The sequence below is a fragment of the Homo sapiens genome, chromosome 18 (assembly GCF_000001405.40).
Source record: "Homo sapiens chromosome 18, GRCh38.p14 Primary Assembly".
Taxonomy (NCBI): domain Eukaryota; kingdom Metazoa; phylum Chordata; class Mammalia; order Primates; family Hominidae; genus Homo; species Homo sapiens.
In genome coordinates this window covers 30310372-30334193 of record NC_000018.10, presented here as the reverse complement: position 1 = coordinate 30334193, position 23822 = coordinate 30310372, and the positions used below count along the sequence as shown (strand labels likewise).

The window sequence follows — 23822 nt, the reverse complement described above, 5'->3', positions numbered from 1 at the left end:
TAGGAGGGTTGAAGTGCAGAAGCTTCTTATAGGCAGTGGATGAAGTAATTTTCTTTTCTTTGTATGTGTTATATGTTCATTGGGAGATATCAGTTCTGTGATTTTGGTGTCCAGATATCTTTCAAATATTTTAAATGAAACTATTTTTTCAGTTTTTACTTATATGTTATTTGTTTCATGCAGGTTTTAACTGTATGTTCCACAGAAACTGAGCAAGAAAACAAACAAAAACAGTAAGATTATGTATGAACCAAGCTTTACCCAGCATTACTACTCTTTTCTCCTGGAATGTATTGAATTACTTTTATTGAGGTGAGATAATCATGATTAACCCTTTTTCCCCCTTGGGATAACTTTTGTCTCAGAAGGTGATTTCCCCTATTAAAAATAGTCTTATAGCAGACTTCTCCCACCTGTTTCCCAGACATTCTCTGGCATATCAGAAATTGATTTATCTGTAAATTGGTAGCCTGTTACAATTCTGTCTCCCCCAGTAAAGATTATCATTACCAAGAAAGCCAGTTCAGACATTTTCAACATTCTTTTAACCTCTCCTACCTCTTTCCATGCAATAATCCAGCCTCCCTTATAGCTCACAGAGACCACAAGCCTTCAAATGAACACTCGCACGTGACCTGCCACTCTGCCTTTACATTTTCACACAGTGTCACATATAATCTTGCCTCACAATAAAAGAGATGTCTTGCATTCTGTCAAAGATGAACACTTTAAATTTTTCTCAGGACTCCATTGATTTCTAATGCTTTGAGAGCCACAGACAAATTGCACCATTATCTTGTATCTTCGACTATCCCCTTTCTACTGGTTCATTTCAAACAGCATTTAATCGTCAAGTCCTTTCTTTAAGATAGTACATCTCCAAACAAAAACACTTATTTTCCTCTTGTCTTATTCTCTTTTTTATGTTGAATCCTCTTGAAAGAATCATCTCTACATGATGTGTCCAAATTCACATTGCTCCTTCACTTTCAAGCTATAACAATTTAGGTTTCCTCATGACATTTTCCATAGCAATTACTCTAAAGAACATCACAAACAGGTCACCTTTTTGTCAAATCCAATGGACAATTTTTAAAAGTTCCTCACCATACAAGTCTCTATAACATTTACCCATAATGCCTTTCTCTCCAAAATTACCCTTATTTGGTTTCCATGGCATCATCCAGTTTGGATTTTCTTCTTTGTGCTCCATCACCAATTGTATTATTTTTTTTTCTTCCATATAACAGGTAAATGTTTAAGTTCCTCTGATGTTCGATATAAGGTCTCTTGTTTGTTATGCATTCTGCTTTAATAATGTCAGTTATTCTCCTCATAGCAATTACTTATTAAAATAGTGATGACTCACAGATATCTCTGATTCTTTTCTTTGAAGTTCAGATTTGTTACTTTCAACTTCTTAACAAGAATTTCAATTAAAACGAAACATATCTTAAACTGGGCTTAATCCAGATACTTACTGAATACATGTAATAAATGCCATAGTCGTACTTCAAATTTGAGGCCAAATGTGGTGGCTCATGCCTGTAATTCCAACACTTTTAAGGCCAAAGTGGGAGGATGGCCAGAGGCCAGGAGTTCAAGACTAGCCTGGACAACATAGTGAGACACGGTTTCTATAAAAAATTAAATTAGCCAGGCATGGTGGCACATGCCTGTTGTCCCAGCTACTCAGGAGACTGAGGTGGTAGGATCACTTGAGCCTAGGAGTTCAAGGTTGCAGAGAGATATAATTGTGCCACTGCACTGCAGCCTGGGAAAGAGCTAGACCCTGTCTCTACAAAAAATAATAACAATAGTATATAAATAATAAACAAATTTGTGATAAGTACCTTAACTATGTTCCTCCACAGCACTCTTAATATCAGAGGCATACAACTCTGTGCAAGCCAATACTTGGAAATTCCCCTTGATTTCTTTCTCTGCCTTACATTTATCCAATTTAATTTTTAGTCTTATCACCTCTGAAGTATAAATATGTTGATATCTACTTTTTTATTTTTATATATGCTGTGGTTACCTTATTCAAGGTCACCTTCATCTTCTGACTATAATATATCTCATAACTTGACTATGTGTCATCAATCCAGTCCCAATCTAAGCTATTCTCCACAGTGAAGCTCAAATTATCTTTCTATAAGGTATGCTTTTCTGAAATTATCTAAATGCATGAACTTGTCAAGTTTGATCATGTGTTCCCTTACCTTTAAAATTCAGATACTTGTTCTATCAATTTTATTGAGTTCTTGTGAGGGTTAATTGAGATAGTTCACACAAAGCACTTAGTACCAGGCCAAGCACAGTGGCTCATGCCTGTACTCCCAGCTACTTGGGAGGCTGTGGTAGGAGGATCACTTGAGCCCTGGAGTTCCTGGCTGCAGTGAGCTGTGATCACACCACTATACTACAGCCTGGGCAACAGAACAAGACCCTGTTCTCAAATAAATAAATAAATAAATAAATAAAAGACACTTAATACCCAATTTCTGGTACATAAAAATGACTTTTAAAAGTTAGAAATTATCAATATCATCATTATCAACATGATGATCCAATTTTCCTGAAAACCTTTTAAAGACTGTTGATGCCAGAAAAAAAATAAAAAAAATTAAAATAGTTTATAATACCCTTCATAATTTGTCACTGCTATACTTTCATTCAATTCTCAGTCATGCTATTTATGCCTCCACATATTCCTGCTCATTCTTTCCTGCCTTTGGACTTTCCTTATCAGTAGAATATTTCTCCATGCACTTTTGTCTTTAGAGCAATCAGGTAGGGGCTATACTGAACATAGGGAAGGAGGTTCACATGCTATATAGCCAAAATTAACAAGGATTCATTGCAGTATTTTTTGTGGAAATGTATCCACTTTACCTAGGTTTTCACAATTTCAGCATTTATACATTCTTAATATTTTTGTATTATTTTGGTAATACTGTCTTTATAAATATTTCTCCTTTTTTATTGATTCTGTATTTTTCTACTTTCTCGCCTTTTAGCCTTTGGTCAGTCTTGCTGGAGTCTTTTTCAAACTAATCAGTCTTCTCATAGAACCAGCTATTTGGTCTATTATACTTTTTATCAATGTTTTTAAATCCATTTTGCTAATTTCTATTTTAGAGTTTTAATTACCTTATTCCTCTTTATATGCATTTTGCAATAAAAATGAACAGTGTAAAACAGTTGTTCACTGTTTTATCTCCAGTTCTTAGACTCATCCCTGGTGAATATTAGGCTCCCAACCAATATTTGTTTAACTAATGGATGAAGGTAAAAATTTACACATTAGCTTCTTTATGAAGTTTTTATTATTATTATTATTATTATTATTATTATTATTATTATTGCCCATCCAAAACTGATTTCTGTGCCCTTCTTACCTTTTCTGAATGTGGTCCATGCTACTAAAAGCACATTACAACTTGTCTAACTCCCCAACAGACATTAAGAAACTGAGAGAAGGTACTGCATCTTCTTCAACATTTTTGTCTAAGCACCTAGCCAGGTACTTAGCATTTAGTAGGAAATCTAACAAATGGTTATGGGGTGAAAGAAATGTATTTTTACAAACTTTGCAATGTAAAGTGGATCTCTTTATTCTATACCTACTAAGGTCATCAAATTTCCTGATTATCATAATAGTGTTTGCCAATCCTTCACATGCACGTGACATTCTATCTCCGAATGATAATAAAACCTGTCTTCAAATACATGTTTTTATTTGTGTCACTTTCAAAAAAATAGGAGGCTTGTCCTGTAAATAACTGTTATCCACAATTTTGTCTAATAATATCTCTAATGTAGTTATGTATCACATTGGGAGTTAATAGATCATCCTGACTTTCTAGAATATTTTTTTAAACACATGATTTTACAATAAATTTATCTCTATCAGTAGTCAATGGCTTTTAATGATTTTATGTTTATAATTATCCTCAACTTTCATGATTTATAACATCATTCATGTTACCAATCCTCCTTCAATACTTTAAGAGGCCCCTTTTTGTTGGATATGGCCCATTATAATATGCTGACTGCATAACAAAGTAAGTTTTCAGTAAATTATTTCACTTTTCTTTCTTTCTTTCTCTTTCTTTCTTTTTTTTTTCTTTATCTCACTCTATCACCGAGGCTGGACTGTGGTGGTATAAACACGGCTCACTGTAGCCTCAACCTCCTGGGCTTAAGTGATCCTCCTACCTCAGCCCCCAGAGTAGCTGGGATTACAGGTGCCTGCCACCATGCCTGGCTAATTTTTGTAATATGTATTTATTTATTTATTTATTTATTTATTTATTGTTTTCATACCGATAAGATTTCACCTTGTTGCCCAGGCTGGCCTCAAACTCCTGAGCCCAAGCGATCCATCCACCTCGGCTTACCAGAGTGCTGGGATTACAGGCGTGAGCCACTACGTCTGACTTACTTCACTTTTCTTAGTCTCAGGTTTTTTACCTTTAAATTATTAAGAAGTTAAGTAAATAAATAAATAAAATGAATACTTGCCGGATAGAATTGACATGAGGATTAATGTATAATTATTTACATTAATGTAAGCAATGAGATTACCTATACTAACTCATAATGCTAAGTGATGATAATGTAAGGAAAGTTTCTGCTGAATATCAGAAATTCCTGTTTCTCTAGTGAGGAGGAGTATTCAAAATTGTACCCAGTATAAAGTGCAAAGATATCAATATTCTAGAAGGCTAAAATAATGGGTCCTGTTTCTCCTACCTGATAGTTTTTCATTGTTCATCACTTAAGTGATCTTTTTTGTTGAAGTATAATGTTAGGCCACTATCTTGAGAAACCAATCTGGCCTGATTTCCTTGCTGTCAACTAAGAGTTCAGAGCCCCAGTTCAAAGATGTGTCATTTCATTTACACTGGACCACTTACATTCTCCTCAAGAGACCTGTAGTGATAATTTCATGAATCTTTAAAACCCCTGATACCATTATAGAATGTAATTTCTCTCATAAAATTCAGTAAAACATGAAGCTCCTGAGCGACCCCTTTGGATTCTTAATGATTTTATAAATGCATTACTGAAATAATTTAGAAGGCAAAGCGACTCATTCAACACATCAGTGTGAGTAATTCAAATAGGTGCTTTAGCAAAATTCCAAACTGCAAAGTCATAGACCTTACGACTCTATTCCACTTACTGCTAAATACATCTCCTGAACTATATCACTACCTTCACCTCATACATTTTGTAAACCTGATGATTCCACACCAACTTTCTCAGATCTTTCATTACATTGACTGCTTCCTGAATACATGTCACTATTTACAGTTCTTTACTGGAAAAATTCATTTATCAATCTTTATAGGACTTGTTTGTGTGTGTGTGTGTGCGCGCGCCTGTAAGCATTTTGATTAAATAATATTTTTTGTTTTGTTATCAATAATAGTCTTTAATTCATGGATATTTTGCTTATTTTTCTGATGAATGGAAAGTTTTTGTTACTTTTCTAAACAATATTCAATTTTGCTTTCATAGACATCATGGTAAAAACTAACATTTAAAGTTAAGGAGTACCTTGACTTTTATACATCTCTGCACACACCCCCCCCCCTTTTTTTAAGAATTGAGATGAGAGAAGCTATACAGCCTAACTTTGCTTATCTAAAAAATATGGATATCTTATGTGATGGCCAGGAGGATTAAAAAGAGTAAAATATATTAACACTTGTTACAGAAAATGTGCTCAATAAATGTTAATTTTCATCACATTTTCTTCTAATCCCATAGTTTTACTTCATGCTCTCTTATGTGATGAATGGGACGTTAGATAAGATGAGCAATGCGTTTTTACATATTTTCTATTATCTTTTTCTACATAAAATAATAAATATTTTCCTACATTCACTTCTTATGTTGAACATTTAAGATGGTATTTTCTTCCCAATTTGTTTTTATTGCTGGCAAATCTTATTTTTTAAAAAGCTATATTATTCCATACTGTCATTGTTATTTCTTTGATCATTACCATTTAATAACAGGCATGATTTCTATTTGTGGAAAATTCACTATTTGACTTTGGATACAGCTTTGTTTCTTCATAATTTTTAATGCCTTTTAGAATTATTGGGCTAATTCATTAAAGAAGGTATTTTATTTCCAGTTTCTTTGATATATGTGGAGATAAGGACATAAGAGATGTCATAAAGTTACAATAACAGGGAAGATGTAGGCTCCCATAAAGAGTCCATTTATAGTCATTCACTAGCCACAAGTAATGCTAAATATGCTATTTCAAATAACAATACGTTGAAACAAAACAATTCATAATTGATTTACAGTTAGCCACAATTTAAATTTTTATAAATTTACAAGGTCCCTGTCAATATCCAAATCTCGGAGTAAGCAAATCTTACACATGTTCCTGATGAAGATACAGTTAGCATCTTTTAAATAATCTCTTCCTACTACTCTGTCCTTTGACTTATATGTGTACTCATTCCACAGTGCATATAGAAAAGGTAGAGAGGTCTTTATGTTCCCTTCATTTCTTGTTCCTTAATTGTTTTTATTTGCATTATTATTTTTAGTTCTCTCAATACAGACATTAAATCTTTTGTTCTTTAAATAATACTCTGCTTTTCAATTTTCCATTTACTTTTCAGATTTTTCTAATATTGTGATCAGCATTCTTCCTTAAATATTTCAGTTGTTTTATTAAGCCTTCTTTTGCTTTCCTCATTATGGAAAGATAAGCATGATTTATAAGCACAGGAAGAGGTAGTCATACCATCTGTACTAGTCAGAATTCTTCAGAGAATTAAAAGCAGTGGGATATATCTCTATCATCTATCTATCTATCTATCTAAATTTACTTTAAAGCATTGGCTTGCTGGATTACAGAGGCTGAGAAATCCCAAGATCTGCAGATGGTAAGCTGGAGACCCAAGAGAGCCAATGGTGTAGTTCTAGACCAAGAACAAAGGCCTGAGAACCAGGAGAGAGAGTGGTGTAAGTTCCAGTCTGAAAGTTTGGAGGCTCAGGACCCAAGAAGAGCCAATATTTCAGCTGGAATCCAAAGGCAGGAAAATACCAGTGTTCCAACTCAAAGCAGTTAGGCAGGAGGGGTTCCTTCTTGCTCAAAGGAAGGCCAGCCTTTTTATTCTATTCAGGCCATGAACTGATTGGAGGAAGACCTCCCACTTCAGGGAAGGCAATCTTCTTTACTCAGTCTACCCACTCAAATGTTAATCTCGTCCAAAGCATTCTCACAGATATACCCAGAATAGAGTTTTACCAAATACCTGGGCACCCACATCCCAGAATACTTGACATATAAAATTAACTATCATACCATCTCTTTTTTTTCATAGTGTTGGAGAGACATTTTAAATGTTTTTCAGTTATGTGGAAAGCAAAACAAGTTATTAAGGCAATATATTGTTTTTAGGCTCTGCATAGCCAATAAGTAAAATAATGGCAGCCTTCCTGGAGATGCACTTGTTTTTTTAGAGCTTTAATAATATCTAAGCGTTTTCTCAGTGTGGCTATAGAAAGAATCAATCAAAAATCATTACAGAAGAAAATTTAATTACTTTCTAGGATTAAAATTTTAATCATGAGTATTCAATTAACTGTTAATATTAAGATTTACTCTTCAGATTTTTATGCAAATGTGTCCTAATACACAGACTGAGACTGAAGATAAAGAGGTTCATAAAAAATATTTTTTAATCATTCACTAAATCAGTGATAATTTACTTTGAGGAACATTTTGTGCTTATGACATGGAAAGTGAAAATAGTTCCACTCTTGCCTGATCTATTGGAATAAATTTTGTTAATACAGAATGTGACTATATAGGATAACTTGGGGACTACCTTTACACAAAACTGGAATTGATTCAATATTTTAGATAAAAAATAAATAAAAGCAAACACAGTAGAGTTTGATATTTTTTTTGCCACTCTTTAAAAAGTTGAAAGGATAATGTATTTTATCTAATTTAACTTTCTTAACTTTATAGATGAAAAATCTGGGGCCAAAAGAATTATATATGTGAGAGACCAGAATATGCCACCTCAAGATATGAAGGACTGTTGAGTTGAAGACAATTAAAAAGCAGCAGATACAGGAATGCTCTCTGACCTCCTCTATTTGCCTAAAAGCAAAATGTAGATTTTCAAAGACAAAAGGGATCCTGGCATTCCCTCCTCCCTGCTACTTACAGGGAAAACAGAGATTAACCACTAAAGACAACTTTAGACACATATCTTCTGGAGGTGGTACCAGAGGCACCTGCCTTAACAAGTTTCACCTAATAGTCTTTACCTGCCATTTATTTGCCTTCCCACAAGTTGCATCCTCTAGAGACTAAAAGTTCTTTTACTGTGTCTTCTCAATTCTCTAAAAATTTACTGTTCTTTCTTGAATATGCTATATAAACTGGAACTCAAAGCCACTACTTTGAGAAATACTCATTTCCTGCACGTCATTCATGTATATGTAAAATACACATGCTAATTTTTTTCTCTTCTTAATCTGTCTTTTGTTACCGGGGTTCTTTCCAACTAAGAACCAATGACTGGGGAGGCAGGGTTTTGAAGAAAAATTATTCTTCTTCTACACATGACTGTCAGTAAAATGTCAAGAAAAAGATGTTTCTGCTCGAAAACTGTACCACTACACTATTCAACATCACCTATGGAAGAAATGAGCACCAGATCACAGATCAGGTGACTGAGTTTTACTTCCAAATTCAGTCACCTGGTCTGTGATGTTGACCAAGTTAGACTTCATGCTTTTGATTCTTCTTCTTTAAAATGAGGTTGTTAAAATACGTGATCTCTGTGGTACCTTTCAACTTTAACAGAGGGGAATGGAGGTAAGAAAATATATATAAAAGAAAATACAAAGAGCTTTACGTTGGCAAATGACAGTGTTGTATGAACAACTTATTTTAAATCTCTTCCCCAGATATTTCTTAACATAAAAAGATAACGTATTAAGCATTTTATTTACCTATATGATACATGTTAATAGCAATATTTCAAGTATTCTCAATTAAAACTTTGAATCAGCAATATATTTTTGCAAATCAAATTATAAAATAAAGTTTTAAATTAAATTTAATTTCCTAAAATCTGGTATTTTTATTAGTTATATTTAGTTTTCCTCTGAAATTTGAAATGTCTGAATTTTTTGGCTAATAATTTAATGTCATATTCTGTTGGGGTTTATTAAAAAGAAAAAAAATCCTCTTAAGAACTCTAGAAAAATGTTTTCCAAAATTTGGTTATTTTACTTATACAAATATTAAGTCTGCAATTCTACCAAAAACTCAATGAATTGAAAACAAAGATTGGAATATATATTGGGAAATTAGTTCATGGCATGGTATAGTGTCAAATTATGAATGAAAACATGGATGAACAGTAAATTTTTGTGACTAAACTAGAAGTTAGCAGACATTTTTTTCAGTTAGGCACATATTTAAAATAGCGTGGAACTGCATTCTGGTTGTACGACGTGTGTAATGCAGGGAATTCTTAAAATTAAAATCTACTTTTAACCACTATTTTCTTTGCTGCTTATAAAATATTTTTATATTCTTTCATTGATATTATGTTACATAGTTATAGTGAGAAATATTGGGTCATGCAGGCTGATCCCTCATGAATAGGTTGGTGCTCTCCCCACAGGAATGAGTGGTAATGAGTTCACGTGAAACCTGGTTTTTTAAAAGTATGTAGCACCTCTCTACTCTCTCTTGCTCTCTCATGCCATGTGACATGCTGCCGCCCTGCTCCCTGACCCCCCACCTCCGTCTACCCTCCACCATGAGAATAAGCTACTGGAGGCCTCACCAGAAGCCAAGCAGATGCTGGTACCATGCCTACATGGCCTGCAAAACTATGAGCCAAATAAACCTCATTTGTTTGTAAATTGCCCAGTCTCAGGTATTCCTTTGTAGTAACACAAAACAAATTAACACACATGGTATACTTGCATACACATGCATGCACACACACAAGATTTCACCTTTTTAAAATGTGTTTGCCATAATTAATTTAGATAATTTCATTATGTTAAACTGGTAAGTCTACTTGGAAATCAAAACAAAATATGAATTTATGGTAACATTTCTAAAGAAAATCCCATCTTAATACATTACTTACTATGGTCATTTTAATAGTGTCTTTTTCAATAGAAATAGCCTGGATAATTTCAAAGATAATCCACGATCTTATTCCATGCTATCCTAAAATAGAGTCTTAGGCAAGGGTTAAGAGCTAATATCTTATTTTGAGATAAAATCCCAGCCAGCAAAAGTGAGGGAAAAGGAAAGGAAGAACAGAGGATGGAAAGTAATGCAAAGTGACGTGTTACTGGCCACTCCTTCACACGCAGCTGTATAACAGGTGCCATCACTTAATAGGGAGCCACAGGACATATCTGGACAAGCAGTTGAGAGAAAATGTCCCAGAGTAGTGCACATAAGGGAAAAAAGATAAAGTTTTATTGTTCTGTCTACTCTTTCTTACTGGTCAGAGTAAGACCAGTAAGACATTCTCAAAGAGTTAATGGCTTTTTGATTCAGAGTTGCTTTCTTGGGCCTTTTCTCCTTTGTCAGCTTCTTTAGAAATCCCATGCTGCTCCAAGTTGTTGGGATGTTTGAATATCTGGAAGTGATAAGAGATGACAGAAAGTCAAGGTATATGACTAGAGCAGCAGCCACCAAGGTTGAGTTCCTAGTCTCCTTAGGAAGTGACTGGTCACTCAAGGTGGTAGAATTAAGAGCATCACTTTGGGGAGAAGTAGCTACAGATGCAGCTAGGGCAGATCAAGTTGTTAATGGTCTGGAATTTGTGGAGGCACACATTTGTCCAAGCAATCTATAATAGCTCCTTAAATGTTTTACATGCTTTAATTGTATCATATGTACTGTTGGATACTGATTGGTATCTAACCTTTTTAGATAGCATTTTAATACATATAAGCAGTGGAGCTGTACTAACCTAAACACATCATGGATTTGGATATTTTTTTCCTTTTAAAGACGACATTATAAACTGAAAAGTGGCAAATATAAATATTCTGAATAATTGGTGGCACATTTAAAAACATCCATTGCCTTTTGCTGTGATCAGTTCTGTTACTGGTATTATTTTCCCTCTGTAACAGCAAAACCTGTAGTATGCAAAGATTTTTAAATGTTCCCAGGTCATCAGACTAACAACACCATTTAATTTATCGAATTGCCTTGGAAAATGTTGAGCTGCAGTAACTGATTGTGTAATATGCAAAAATCTTACTATATCACCAACTTCCACAACTGAGTGTTATTTATGTTTCTAAAAATATAATTTTAGTGAATTATTACATTTTTTCAAAGTTTACTCCTTTTGATTTTTTCCTCCTAAGTGTAAAATGTGTTAGTTCTTTGGTATAATTGTATTGAGGGAAGCTAATTATTTTCTATTATCATTGAATGAGTAGAGAAGATAACTCCAAAATAGACATAGAGAAACTTATTCCAAAGATTTATAGAGACAGAAATATGAATTGTTCACAGTTTGCAAGTGGAAGCACTCTCATAAATTGCCTCAGGAAAACCAAGATCAAACTGACACCAACAAGCCTGGATCACGAAGACCTCTGTATTGCTACAGAAAGAATCAATGTCATGAAACAGTTTTTACATACCTTATTGCATTAAATTAATTTTATCTGTAAATTTCCTTCATGTATGCTAGTTTCTAAGACTTTTTTCCAATTATTATCCTCAAAATGTAATATTGTAATATACTTTTTTCAAAATCATAATATGTGAAGATATCCTAAAACTTTGACCTATATTTCTGTTTTAGTAAAAAACTCAAATTACATTGCAGAAAGAATAGTGTCATATGAAAATAAGAATTAGATTCCTAGGTATTGTGATGCTTATTGAGTTAAGCAAATAAATGCATCACATATAGGAGAAGTTTCAATAAAACTTGGTATCCCTGAGAATTTATTAAAATTTTATATTGCAACATGCCTTGCAATGGTTTTTTTAGGTTTACATTTTAAATATTTGCTAATAAAATATGCACTGCATATAAAATTTTAGGTTCTTAATTTAAATTATTGAATACTATTGAATACTTTTGCAATTTATGGCCTAAAAACAAATTTTATTTAAAATGTTTAAAAATATAGCCTTTAGAAGTAGTATAATTTACTAATTTTTAAAAAGTGTATATTTTACATTATTGATAATGTTGGCTTTGCAATTCATTATTGAAATTACCAAGCTGGTAATTGAAAAATTGGTTAAATATGGACATGGATATTTGAACTCCTTCATGAGAAAAGGTTTCTTGACCAAAATCAGCAAGCTTTGATTTTTTTGTTTCTAGTCATATAAACATGTGTTAAATGCATGAATGGTTAGGAACATTTTACTTCTTCACCTCTCTTTAACAAGTATTTGCCTGTTCTAGACATTGCGTGCACATGGAGAAGTAAATACATGAATGAGATTATAGTCCTTGCCCTCAAGGGGTTTTCAGTCTTGCCCTATTATCTTTATGGCTATGTCATGGATTAGTGCGTAACTTTGACTAATCTTAAGAATTCAATGTATGGACACAGAATAAAGTAAACTAATTGCATGTGTCATTGAAATTATCATTTCAACCAATTGGTACCTTTAAGAAACTGAGCACCTAAAAGTTAAACAGTATAGATTTATGAGACATTTCTAAAATGTCAACATTCTATTGACTATTCAAATCAAAGCTGATTGCCAAGTTTTATATGGACTCTGAGAGATATCCAAGTCAACACATTGTTATAGTTAACACTGCTTTGTAAATAGCTATTGTTTTGTTATAGTAGCCATATATAATTAGAATCAAATGAATACTTTATCTAGTTTTGTGTCTTTGTGTAAAATCTATTAACATTACATATGTATACCAAGTAAATACACACAAATATAATTTGAAGAACAATGTCTAAGATATCTACAGTGTTTTACACCTTAATTTTTCTTAAGTTTCAATTTTAGGATACTCTGTAATTTAATAATAAAAAATTCATTATTCTTGGTGTTTTTATAGAATGAAATGCTACATCATTATTGTCCCCTATATTTCATGTTGAAAGGTGATTTCCAGTGTTGGAAGTGGGGCCTGGTGGGGAATGTTTGGGTCATCGGGGAAGATCCTTCATAAATGGCTTGGTGCCCTCCCCATGGTAATGAGTTATGAGGAGATCTGTTTATAAAAAGAGTCTGGGACCTCCCCCTTCTCTTTCTCTCTCTCTCTCCCCATGTGACATGCATGCTCCCCCTTTGCCTTCCACCATGATGAAGCTTCCTGAAGTCTCATCAGAAGCAGATTCTGGTGCCATGTTTCCTGTATAGCCTGCAAAATCATGAACCTAACCCTTTTCTTAATAAATTACCCAGTTTTCAGTATTTCTTTATAGCAATGCAAAATGGACTAACACACCGTGTCAACCTAATTCAGTTTCAATAACCTGTTAAGACATCTCTGGCATTTTAAAAATTGTTTTCTCTTATAAGCACCAATTCTACCTAGAAATACTATGCATGGATTAACATAATGGCAAGGAAACTTTAAATAAGCTAATGTCTAAGATAATTATTTGTCAAAGTGATTAGATGAATTTCTACCACAAAAGCCACATATGGATAATGATCAGGGCAAGAGATTAGGCTGGATTTCTGGATAATCTGATTAAGATTCCTGGGAGCAAACATTACAAACATTTAAAAGTAAGATGGACCAGAGTTCAGGAGATAAACTATTAGGATTGAGGACAAAAGATCCTAAGGTAGAGTGAGAACTAAATCAAACGAGTTTCTGTGAATTTTACAACAAGTGAAGATGGCTTTTAAAAAGAGAACATTTTTGGGGGATCTGGAATAAAAATATTTCCAACCCATTTTTAAACCTAAAGATCTTTGTCTCTAATAGGCATGCGACAGAGTATGCTGATGTTGATTCTCATTCCATTCTGCAATCGAGTTAGTTTAATTAACAAAGTAAGTGTGTTTTTGCTTCATCCATAAATAAATGGAGTTTCTCAAATTCCTAGTTCCTGTGTGTGTGTGTTTTAACAGGTTGATACACATTTTCTTATCAGACCTAGTAGAAGTTCAGTATTTTTGATCTAGGAATTGATGAGGATCCTGATAAGATGATTCACTGCTCTGCATGGCTGGCTTTCTCTGTTGATTATCTTTGTCCTCTCCTTCACAATCTCTTTTTGCTTCGGAGCTCTGTCTGTGCCACATCATTCTCTTTTATCTTGTTATTTGCAACATTAATTTCTGACATGGTGATTTATATACATTTTATATATTAACATATACAGCAGAGGATCTCAGAGATTTTTTAAACAATTTAACAGTTTATAGGAGAATATTTTTTGTTTACTTCTTCCCAGTTCAACATTTAAAAACAGCAGGCATTATAGCATTTCTAGGTCATGACTATGAGAAAGGTTTCCATTAAGTACAATGTGTTATTTAATTTCTAATTTTTTTCCTTGCAAGATTTTCAACATGATAATTTTTAAGTTTGCCTTTTCCTCCACATGTCTATGACAAACATCTTAGATAAATTGTAGTTGTAACTATTTTACCTTTCTATTTTTACTGTCTAAAGGATGTGAAAGTTGAGGACACATAAGGAGTAAAATAAGTGAAGAAAGGAAAAAGTATAGGTTTTAAGACAGCATCTGGTTCAGAAGAGGAACTAGATTAGAAAGGAAAGTAAGGAAATTTCCTGTTTTCTCCTTTGCAAATTAATTATAACCTTGGTTACATATAGGAAATTATGCCTTCAACACCCTAATATTTTAGCTCATTTTATTAACTGAATTGTATATTGTTATTTAAAATATTAAAGTTTCATATATAAAAATGTGTAACTTCAATGTGATGAAACCCGTCTCTATTAAAAATACAAAAAATAGACAGGTGTGGTGGTGCACGCCTATAATCCCATTAGAAATCTCTATTCTTTATTAAAAATACAAAAATTAGCCAGGCATGGTGGTGCACACCATAATCAGGAGGCTGAGGCAGGAGAATTGCTTGAACCCGGGAGGTGGAGGTTGCAGTGAGTAGAGATTGCACCACTGCACTCCAGCTTGGGCAACAGAGTGAGACTCCATCTCAATAAAAAACAAACAAACAAAAAAAGTAACTTCAATAAAGCCCCGTATCTATGTGTATCTAACTCATCAAAATAACACCAAAATACCAGTTCAGCATCAAAAATGATATAAAGCAATGTACATTTTACTGAAATATCAAGGAGAGTAAATTTGTAATAGTTCTTAGAATTTAAGGAAAAATGTCTTCTGCTCCTTTCTGTTTCTTTTAATTTTTATTTTTTATTACTTTTAAAATTTTAATGACAGATTCCAGCTCTGTTACACAAGCTGGAGTGCAGTGCTGTATCATAGCTCAATGCATCCTCAAACCCCTGGGCTCAAGCAGCCCTCCTACTTAGCATCTTGTGTAGGTAGGACTACAGGAGTGCGCCTCCCCGGCAGGCCAAATTTTTTAAAAAGACTTTTTGTAGAGACAGGGTCTTGCTATGCTGCTCAGGCTGGTCTAGAACTCCTGGGCTCAAATAATCCTCTTGCCTCAGCCTCCCACAGTGCTGGGGTTACAGGTGTGAGTCACTGTGCCTGGCCCCTCATCTCCATTTCAATCCTTATCGAATCATTCACAAATCTGACCAAGAAAATTATCTTACCTCTCTCCCCAAATATTTGTGGCTTAACTCTTTGTCCCACAGATCAACTTAAATCACGCTGCTTTATACAGTTGTCCTCTTCCTCTTCCGTTTTGATTTGTGATTGCAAGCTGCACCCAACCACGTGCTGGAAGAGGAATGGTTATAGGAGTTACTAAATCTGAGTATTTCTACCCTTCATAAGAATCTTAGTCATACTGATATACTTAATAATAGTTTGCCCTTCTGTATATCCTCTCTGTGTGTATATCCTCTCTGAATTTAGAATTTCTGGTGGTTTGGGGTTCATAAAAAATATCAATGGCACAGCCTATTGAGCCTCACATAGCTGGTGACCTTTCTCTACCTTCAAAGTGTGTTATCATTTTATTTTCATAACAATTTCTAAACATGATTCTCCATCCATTTCTTCAGGCAATGGAAAAATAAATATCCAAATTTTTCCAGGATTTTTTGTTCTTTTTAACCACAGCATATTCTAAAGATTTTAAATTTCAAATAGCACAGTAAGAGCCCAGCCTACAAGATTTTAATGTCTAACATCATTGTTCACATTGTCCAGAAAGACTAGTTTCTTAAGAAACAAGGTATACATGTTAAAATTTATTTTAAATCTTCATATCACTATGGATTTTTTAGGCTTTTTTCAATAACTGAAACCAAGAGGTATATTTGGTTCTCAGAGAAATGCATCCAATCACATTTTTCACACTAGTTCCACAATTATAGTGTTGATCTCAGAGTGATTTCCGTCATTGTCTTTTAATTGTGTATTATTCTAAAACCAACATAATTGATGTTCTCTCAGTCAGCTAAAAACTAATACATTATAACAAACAACTCCAAAACTGAGTAGCACACAGCATACACATTTATATCCCACCTGCATGTCTGTGGCTGAAGAATGGCTAATCTAAGTTGGCTTCTAGTTAACTTGGTCCATAGCTGCTCCACATGTCTTTCATTCTTCTGGAATCACAGGCTACTGTGGAATCTTCTTCCTATGGTGATTGCAAAAGCCCTAGAAAGCACAGAGAATGTTCACTGTCTTGGGCGTGGTGGCTCACGCCTGTAATCCCAGCACTTTGGGAGGTCAAGGTGGGCAGATCGCCTGAGGTCACGAGTTTGAGACCGGCCTGGCCAACATGGTGAAACCCCGTCTCTACTAAAAATACAAAAATTAGCAGGGCATGGTGGCAGGGGCCTGTAATCCCAGCTACTCAGAAGGCTGAGGCAGGAGAATTGCCTGAACCTGGGAGGTGGAGGTTGCAGTGAGCCGGGATCCCGCCATTGCAGTCCAGCCTGGGACACAAGAGCGAGACTTCGTCTCAAAAAACATAAATAAATAAAAATTAAAATAAAAAAAAAGTTCACTGTCTCCTGGGGCCTTGACTTTAACAAGCACTTATGTGGCAGAACAAGTCAATGAGCTTAAACACACACACACACACAACAACAACAACAAACAAACAAGCCCTTCTATGGTGAGAGGTGGGCAAAATGAATTGTTGCTGAATAATAGTCCAAATTTTACCATGTCCAGTAAAATTACATTCCTTTAGATTTTAATTCTAACAGTGGCAATTTAGCTTCAAGACATCAAATTATAGCCTCCAAAATGTAAACTATATTCAAGTAGGAAGCTTCTGGCTACAAGTAATAGAATCTTTCATTCATATTGATTTAACAATAAAGAAATATTTAGGAAATGCAGAGGTACCACTGATGTTAAAGCTGGTTATTGAGCACCCAGGAGAGTGCTCCACATCCCTGATTCTTTTCAATTACTTGTCTGTTATTTACTGTGCTCTCTTCATCCCCAGATTTGTAGCCATATGAGTACCTTTATTTCAGAATTCACAAGACTTGACAATAAAGAGGAAGAGGAAAGAACCACAACTTTTTACATTGGTCTCTATTAGCAGCTATAAAACTTTCTCCGTGAAAATCCAGTACATTTTCATTGATACCTTTTAGGCTGAGAATGGGTTACGTATCCATTTCTAAGTCATTCACTTGGGAATGAGCTTATCTTTAAATCAATTGGTTCCATCTATGGAGCTGGCAGAGCTGGCAGTAAAGTTAATTTCCTCAGATGCACCCAATTTTGCTGGGGGTGGTTGGGTGGGGAGCAGATGAGTGGGACACTAACTAGATCCATAGCAGAATTTTGTAAGAAAGAAAGGAAAATAGGTATGGAGCATCAGCCAACAGTATGCCCCAGACTTCTAAAATGTTCAGTGTTCATTTTTCTTCTAGTCTTATCTAAAGCCAGGATTGTATTTTTAAAACATGATTTAAATAGCCAACTAATTATTAACCTTCCTTAGAACTCCCGTCAAATCCCAAAGAAGAGTAGTATTCACGTACATTCTAAAAGCCTTTTTTAGAACATTCTTCATCAATCTTTCTTACTGAAAATATTAACAACATGGTTGACCCAAGAAATCTCACTCCATGCCAAACTCACTAAAATGCTCTCCTAGATCACCCTTCCCCATCATCTTTTTCCTCCTTACATGTCCTCTCATCATATATATATATATATAATATGTATATAAAACCTATAGATAATTATCGGACTGACATCAATTTTTCCGTCTCTAATAATCCAGATTTTACTCAATAAACAAAACTTAAAACCTGATCCAGGATCTTTTTATGTAATCCTGGCTGGAGTGTAGCAGCATGATCGTAGCTCATTGCAGCCTCAAAGTCCTGGAATCAATGGATCCTCCCTTCTTGGCCTACCAAGTAGCTGGTACTACAGGCAGTCACCACCATGCCGGGCTAATATTTCTTTATTATTTTTTAAAAAAACAGAGTCTCACTATGCTGCCCAAGCTGCTTTCAAATGCGTGGCCTCAACCTATCCTCCCACCTTGGCCTTGCAAAGTGCTGGGATTACAGATGTGAGCCACTGTGCGTGGCCAGTAGGTGTTAAATTTCTATGTAATTCTGGAAGAGTGGCTGTGGCCAAGAAATAACAACTGTTAAAGGATTTTAAAGTATGGTTTTTGTCTAAAGTTTTTATTATATTTTCATGATTACCGAAAGAATGGGTTTTCTGAAAAAATAGAAAAATAAGTTTTTTATACCCATAATCTAACTGCCCAAAGAAAATCATAATAGAAAAATGTGTATATATACATCATAGACATACATACATGCATTTGTGTATATATATAAAACTATATATATCTGCAGTTTTTACAATTATAAATAAAGAAATAGCTACAAGTGTAATTTATACACACATTTTCAAAATATGCATTATAAATTAACATAATAGTATATACAATATATTGTCAACTGCTTTTGTCATTAAGCAATTATAAATATTTTTCAATGCTATTAAATTTTTCTAAAACTTTATTTAGGCTGGTAATTTATTATTACAATGACAATTTAGACATCCATTATACTTTATAAAACCTACAGCTTGGCCGGGCGCGGAGGCTCACGCCTGTAATCCCAGCACTTTGGGAGGCCGAGGCGGGTGGATCATGAGGTCGGGAGATCCAGACCATCCTGGCTAACACGGTGAAACCCTGTCTCTACTAAAAATGCAAAACATTAGCCGGGCGTGGTGGCGGGCGCCTGTAGTCCCAGCTACTCGGGAGGCTGAGGTAGGAGAATAGCGTGAACGCGGGAGGCAGAGCTTGTAGTGAGCCGAGATCGCGCCACTGCACTCCAGCCTGGGTGACAGAGCGAGACTCCGTCTCAAAAAAAAAAAAAAAAAAAAAAAAAAACCAAACAAAAAAAACCTAAAGCTTAACCTATAACCTACAGCCTACCCTATAAAACCTATAACCAAATCCTGCTATTGGATGCACGCACAAACGTACTAGAGTGAAATAATTACTTGAATATGAATAAAGCATTATTTGTTTAAGAGAATTTCTTAAATGTTAATTGCTGGAAGGACATTTTAAAAATTCACACAATGTGTCACAAATGACCCTCAAAGACTATCAAGTCTTTTACCATTTTGGGGTAGCAGTGTGCAACTGTCACTACCCTTTGACAAGGATATATGTGGTCATCTTTTAAAAAACCATATATTCTGGCCAAAGAGAAATAAATTATATTGATGAAGTTTTCATTTTTTCTACTATTTTTTCTAAAGTGTTTTTATTCCATAAATTGCCTGTTTGTGTTATTTGTGTACATAAATTTTTGATTGCCTGTTACAGGTTATATATATATATATAAAACTGACATACTGTCATCCATTTATAATATTTCTACTTCAATTTTGTCATTGGTGTTTCTAAAATGTTTAAGTTGTCATACTTACTAATCTCTTTCTTTATAGTTAGTTCCTTTGAAATATCTCTCATTAAAAGAGATCTCTCAAAGCCAACACAGACGGTGACTACTGGTATCATCTTCTAATTCTTTTATTATTTATTCTTAAAATATTATTTAACTCATCTAGAAGTTAGTAGTGTATGTGTACATGTGTATTTAAATAGCTATAAGGACTTGATTTTGATTCAAATGTTTGACTCATTTTCCTAGCACCATCTTTCTCATTGATTAAAGGGTCTGAATATCTGGCTTTCTTTTGATAGGTCTGCCTATTCTTTTGTAAGTAAGTATCAATTCATTTCTTTGAAACTTTACATTTTATAGTAACACCTGATAATGCAGTAACTCCTAATTTTCTTATTGTTCAAAATGTACTTACATTTCAACTGTTTTTTGGCCAAGATTTAAATTATATTTGATGTGAATTAAATGTATCAAATATTTGGGGGAAGTTAGTCACAATATACATTCATAAAACTATTCTTTTAAATGTCTTACTGACTCACTTCTGAATTAAGCAAAAACCAATTTTTTTGAAAAAAGAAAGAACAAAAAAGAAAACAATACCCATGAAGGGGAAAATAACCTTTACTTCTCATACTATGCATTTTCCCTAGATCATTTTATCCAACTTCATGCTTATGATTGCAATTTATATGCTAAGCTTCTGAAATGAATATTTCAAATTCAGACTCCTCATGTTAGCTTATTAAATAAACACTTACTATGTTCGATCTCCAAATATCGTACAAAGTGCTTTATATACTTGATGTGGGTTATCTCATTGAGGTTAGAGACCAACTCCTTAAGGGTTTTACAGCCAGTATTCATATTTTACAGATGAGGAAACTACAGACAAAAGTGATTAAAGAATCTGCCCTAGGTCACACACTGCAAAGGGAGTTAAGAATTAAACTCGGCCGGATGCGGTGGCTCAGCCTGTAATCCCAGCACTTTGGGAGGCTGAGGTGGGTGGATCACATAAGGTCAGGAGTTCCAGTCTAGCCTGACCAATATGGTGAAACCCTGTCTCTACTAAAAATATGAAAATTAGCCGGGTGTGGTGGTGGGCGCCTGTAGTCCCAGATACTCGAGAGGCTGTGGCAGGAGAATGGCGTGAACCTCTCAGTGAGCCTAGATCGCGCCACTGCGCTCCAGCTTGGGCAATACAGCGAGACTCCGTCTCAAATAAATAAATAAAAATAAAAAAGAGAATTGCTTGAACCCAGGAGGTGGAGGTTGCAGTGAGCTGAGACTGAGCCACTGCACTCCAGCCTGGGTGACAGAGTGAGATTCCATCTCCTAAAAAAAAAAAAAAAAGAATTAAACTCTACTCATATCTTTTTTGTTTGTTTGTTTGCTTCTACTATTATATCTATGTTCCTAATAATTAAACTACTACATTTCCAAATGTTTGTAGCTATATCATAGTCTTATGTTGGCACATCAAACACAGCATGCAAAAAGTGTATTGGTAATCTTTGCCCTTAATAAATTTTTCCCTATAATTTTTCTTATTTTTGATTTGGTGTTACTGTGACATCCCAAGTCACCTAAGATAAAGGTATGCACGTAATTCTTGCCACTTGCTATTCCTTCCCTCCTTATATTGATTCAGTCACAAATCTTGTCAATAGTAAAAATTGTTCCTTTTTTTCTCAAACTAAACCTCATTTATTTTATGTACTATTATTATTATTATTATTCATTCAGGTGTTCAAGTGTTCCTCATCATAGGGGTCCTTCTGAAATAAGCAAATTATCCTACTGGAATTTCTTGTATTTATTTTGGAAGCTTTAAAATTGGTTGAATTAGTTGCTTCCATTTTTTTTGATCCTCTTGTAACTAGATTCAGAACTGTGCCTATGGAAAAATCCAATGTGTTTTTACTTAGATGGAAATGAGATATTATTAAAACAAAATACTATTTTTAAAACGTATTTTTTATTGACAACCATATATATTAAACATGATACTTTTTTTTGCCTCAGTGTTTCTGTAAATACTAATTAGCAGTACTTTCTTATATCAAATTCAGAACATTTCAGCTTAGAAGTGATAAAATATAGGGACAATGAGTAAGATAACTGTATTGTTTGGGGAGCTGAACTACAAAATTTTAGTTTTGGCTTCAGTACTCTAAAAAAGCTTTCTGAAAAGTAGAGTAATAAGCATTTTCAATCACTAATTCAGGTGGGTTTCACCTAAATCTACAGGTGTATCATTGCTCCTGCTATTGAGAAAATGCAGAAGCTTATAATTTTAAATAAGTATAAAATTATATCTAGAAGCTACCCAGGCAGCTTAACACTACAATACTTAGGATGATTATATTTATCTTTAGGAATAATAAAAGTTTAAAACCGAACTGCCAAGTGGCATTTTTGGTAAATATTAGTATTTCAAGATAAAACATATAATTTTGTAGGTAGCACAATTTTATTTAGCATATAAGGGAAAATAAAAGAAAAAGAAAAGAAGAAAACAAACATATAATACTGGAGAGAACCAATTGCTGAGATATATTCAAGGCTGATTTTTTTCCATATATAAGAGTTGGTAGAATTAAAACTTAGCATACTAGTTTTGAATAGGATACATCCTAAGAAAATGACAAGAAGTGACAAGAAGTAATGACAAGATTTTAACATGTTACCTTCTTTCTCTTGTACCAGAATAACTTAATGGTTTAGCATAATTTCAAGTAGGCAGTGTGCTGTTTTAGGAGCAGCTTGTTTTAAAATTTAAGAGGTACAAATCCCAATCCTGAAGCTATATTATCCCTGAACTTCTAGAATATATTCTAGAAGAGTAAATTTTAATCAAGTTATCTTGAGGCCTTTAGAAAATGCTGGACAACTTAAATTCACTTAAATTTAAACTACTAATGGGTATATGTTCTTTTTTATATAAATTGTTCTGTTAATCATTATTTTAGTTTTTTGTTTGTTTGTTTTTACTGGCCCCTTCTGTTTTCTCTTCTTGTGTGGTTACTCTGTGGAGAAATCTATAATATCCTTTCGCATGCACATACGGAAGAATTTTTCACAGGAATGAAATAACTTCTGGAGTGTTCACATTACTTTTATTTTCCCCTATGTGTACTGGTTAAAAGGATCTTAGTAATATATTTTTTAAAACCAACTTTGAATATCTGAAGACTATATTATATAATTAAAATAATTGCTTTTCTTGAGAATAATAAATACATGCATTGATTATATATACAGTTAAATAAACAAATACATTATATTTTATGATGTTGAAACATATTTTTCTCATAGAAAATACAGAAGATAAAAAATATAGCCTTGAGGAATTCTAAACCTGGCATGTGTAGGTGTCTGTGAAAATTCCACAGGATACATTTCTATAATATTGATATGTACAGAATTAATCTAGTGGGTAGATGGTTTTTTATGTAAGGGGTTGAGAGAAATCTGTTGAATGAGAAAAAAAATGCCAATATGTTCAAGCTTTCCACTTTAGTAAATGTGATTCATAGTATAAGTTGATCCAAGAAGTTGTGGTAAATCCTCATTTTCTTTGGTTAAATGTCATTACGTAGGTTTGGAAAACTCCTAAAACTTTAAGTCTTTCAGACATGAGAATATTATATAGAAATGTATAAACATGTTAATATTCATTCTGTGGTTCACAATTATGTCTTTTTTGAAATAACATTAGATGTTTCCTGCTGATTTCAAATGGAGATACAAATCATTAGA

The 23822-nt window shown here is 33.9% G+C and overlaps 2 long non-coding RNA genes across 3 annotated transcripts in view; one reads left to right on the top strand and one right to left on the bottom strand.

Annotated features, from left to right (window-relative positions):
- The window catches only part of LOC105372047 (uncharacterized), a 61121-nt gene extending 52666 nt beyond the window's left edge, over nucleotides 1–8455 (top strand). The window contains exons 2-3 of the long non-coding RNA XR_935332.2: nucleotides 184–312; nucleotides 8021–8455. This is a non-coding gene — a long non-coding RNA (uncharacterized LOC105372047). The remainder of the gene's footprint in view (nucleotides 1–183; nucleotides 313–8020) is intronic.
- The window catches only part of LOC105372046 (uncharacterized), a 32680-nt gene extending 15880 nt beyond the window's left edge, over nucleotides 1–16800 (bottom strand). The window contains exons 1-3 of one of the 2 annotated variants that reach the window (XR_935331.3): nucleotides 16663–16800; nucleotides 15780–15906; nucleotides 10542–10676 (exon numbers count right to left, since the gene is read on the bottom strand). This is a non-coding gene — a long non-coding RNA (uncharacterized LOC105372046). Of the gene's footprint in view, nucleotides 1–10541; nucleotides 10677–15779; nucleotides 15907–16662 lie in introns of those variants that run through there. The other variant, XR_001753387.2, reaches the window with a different exon arrangement.
- Nucleotides 16801–23822: the final 7022 nt, after the last annotated feature.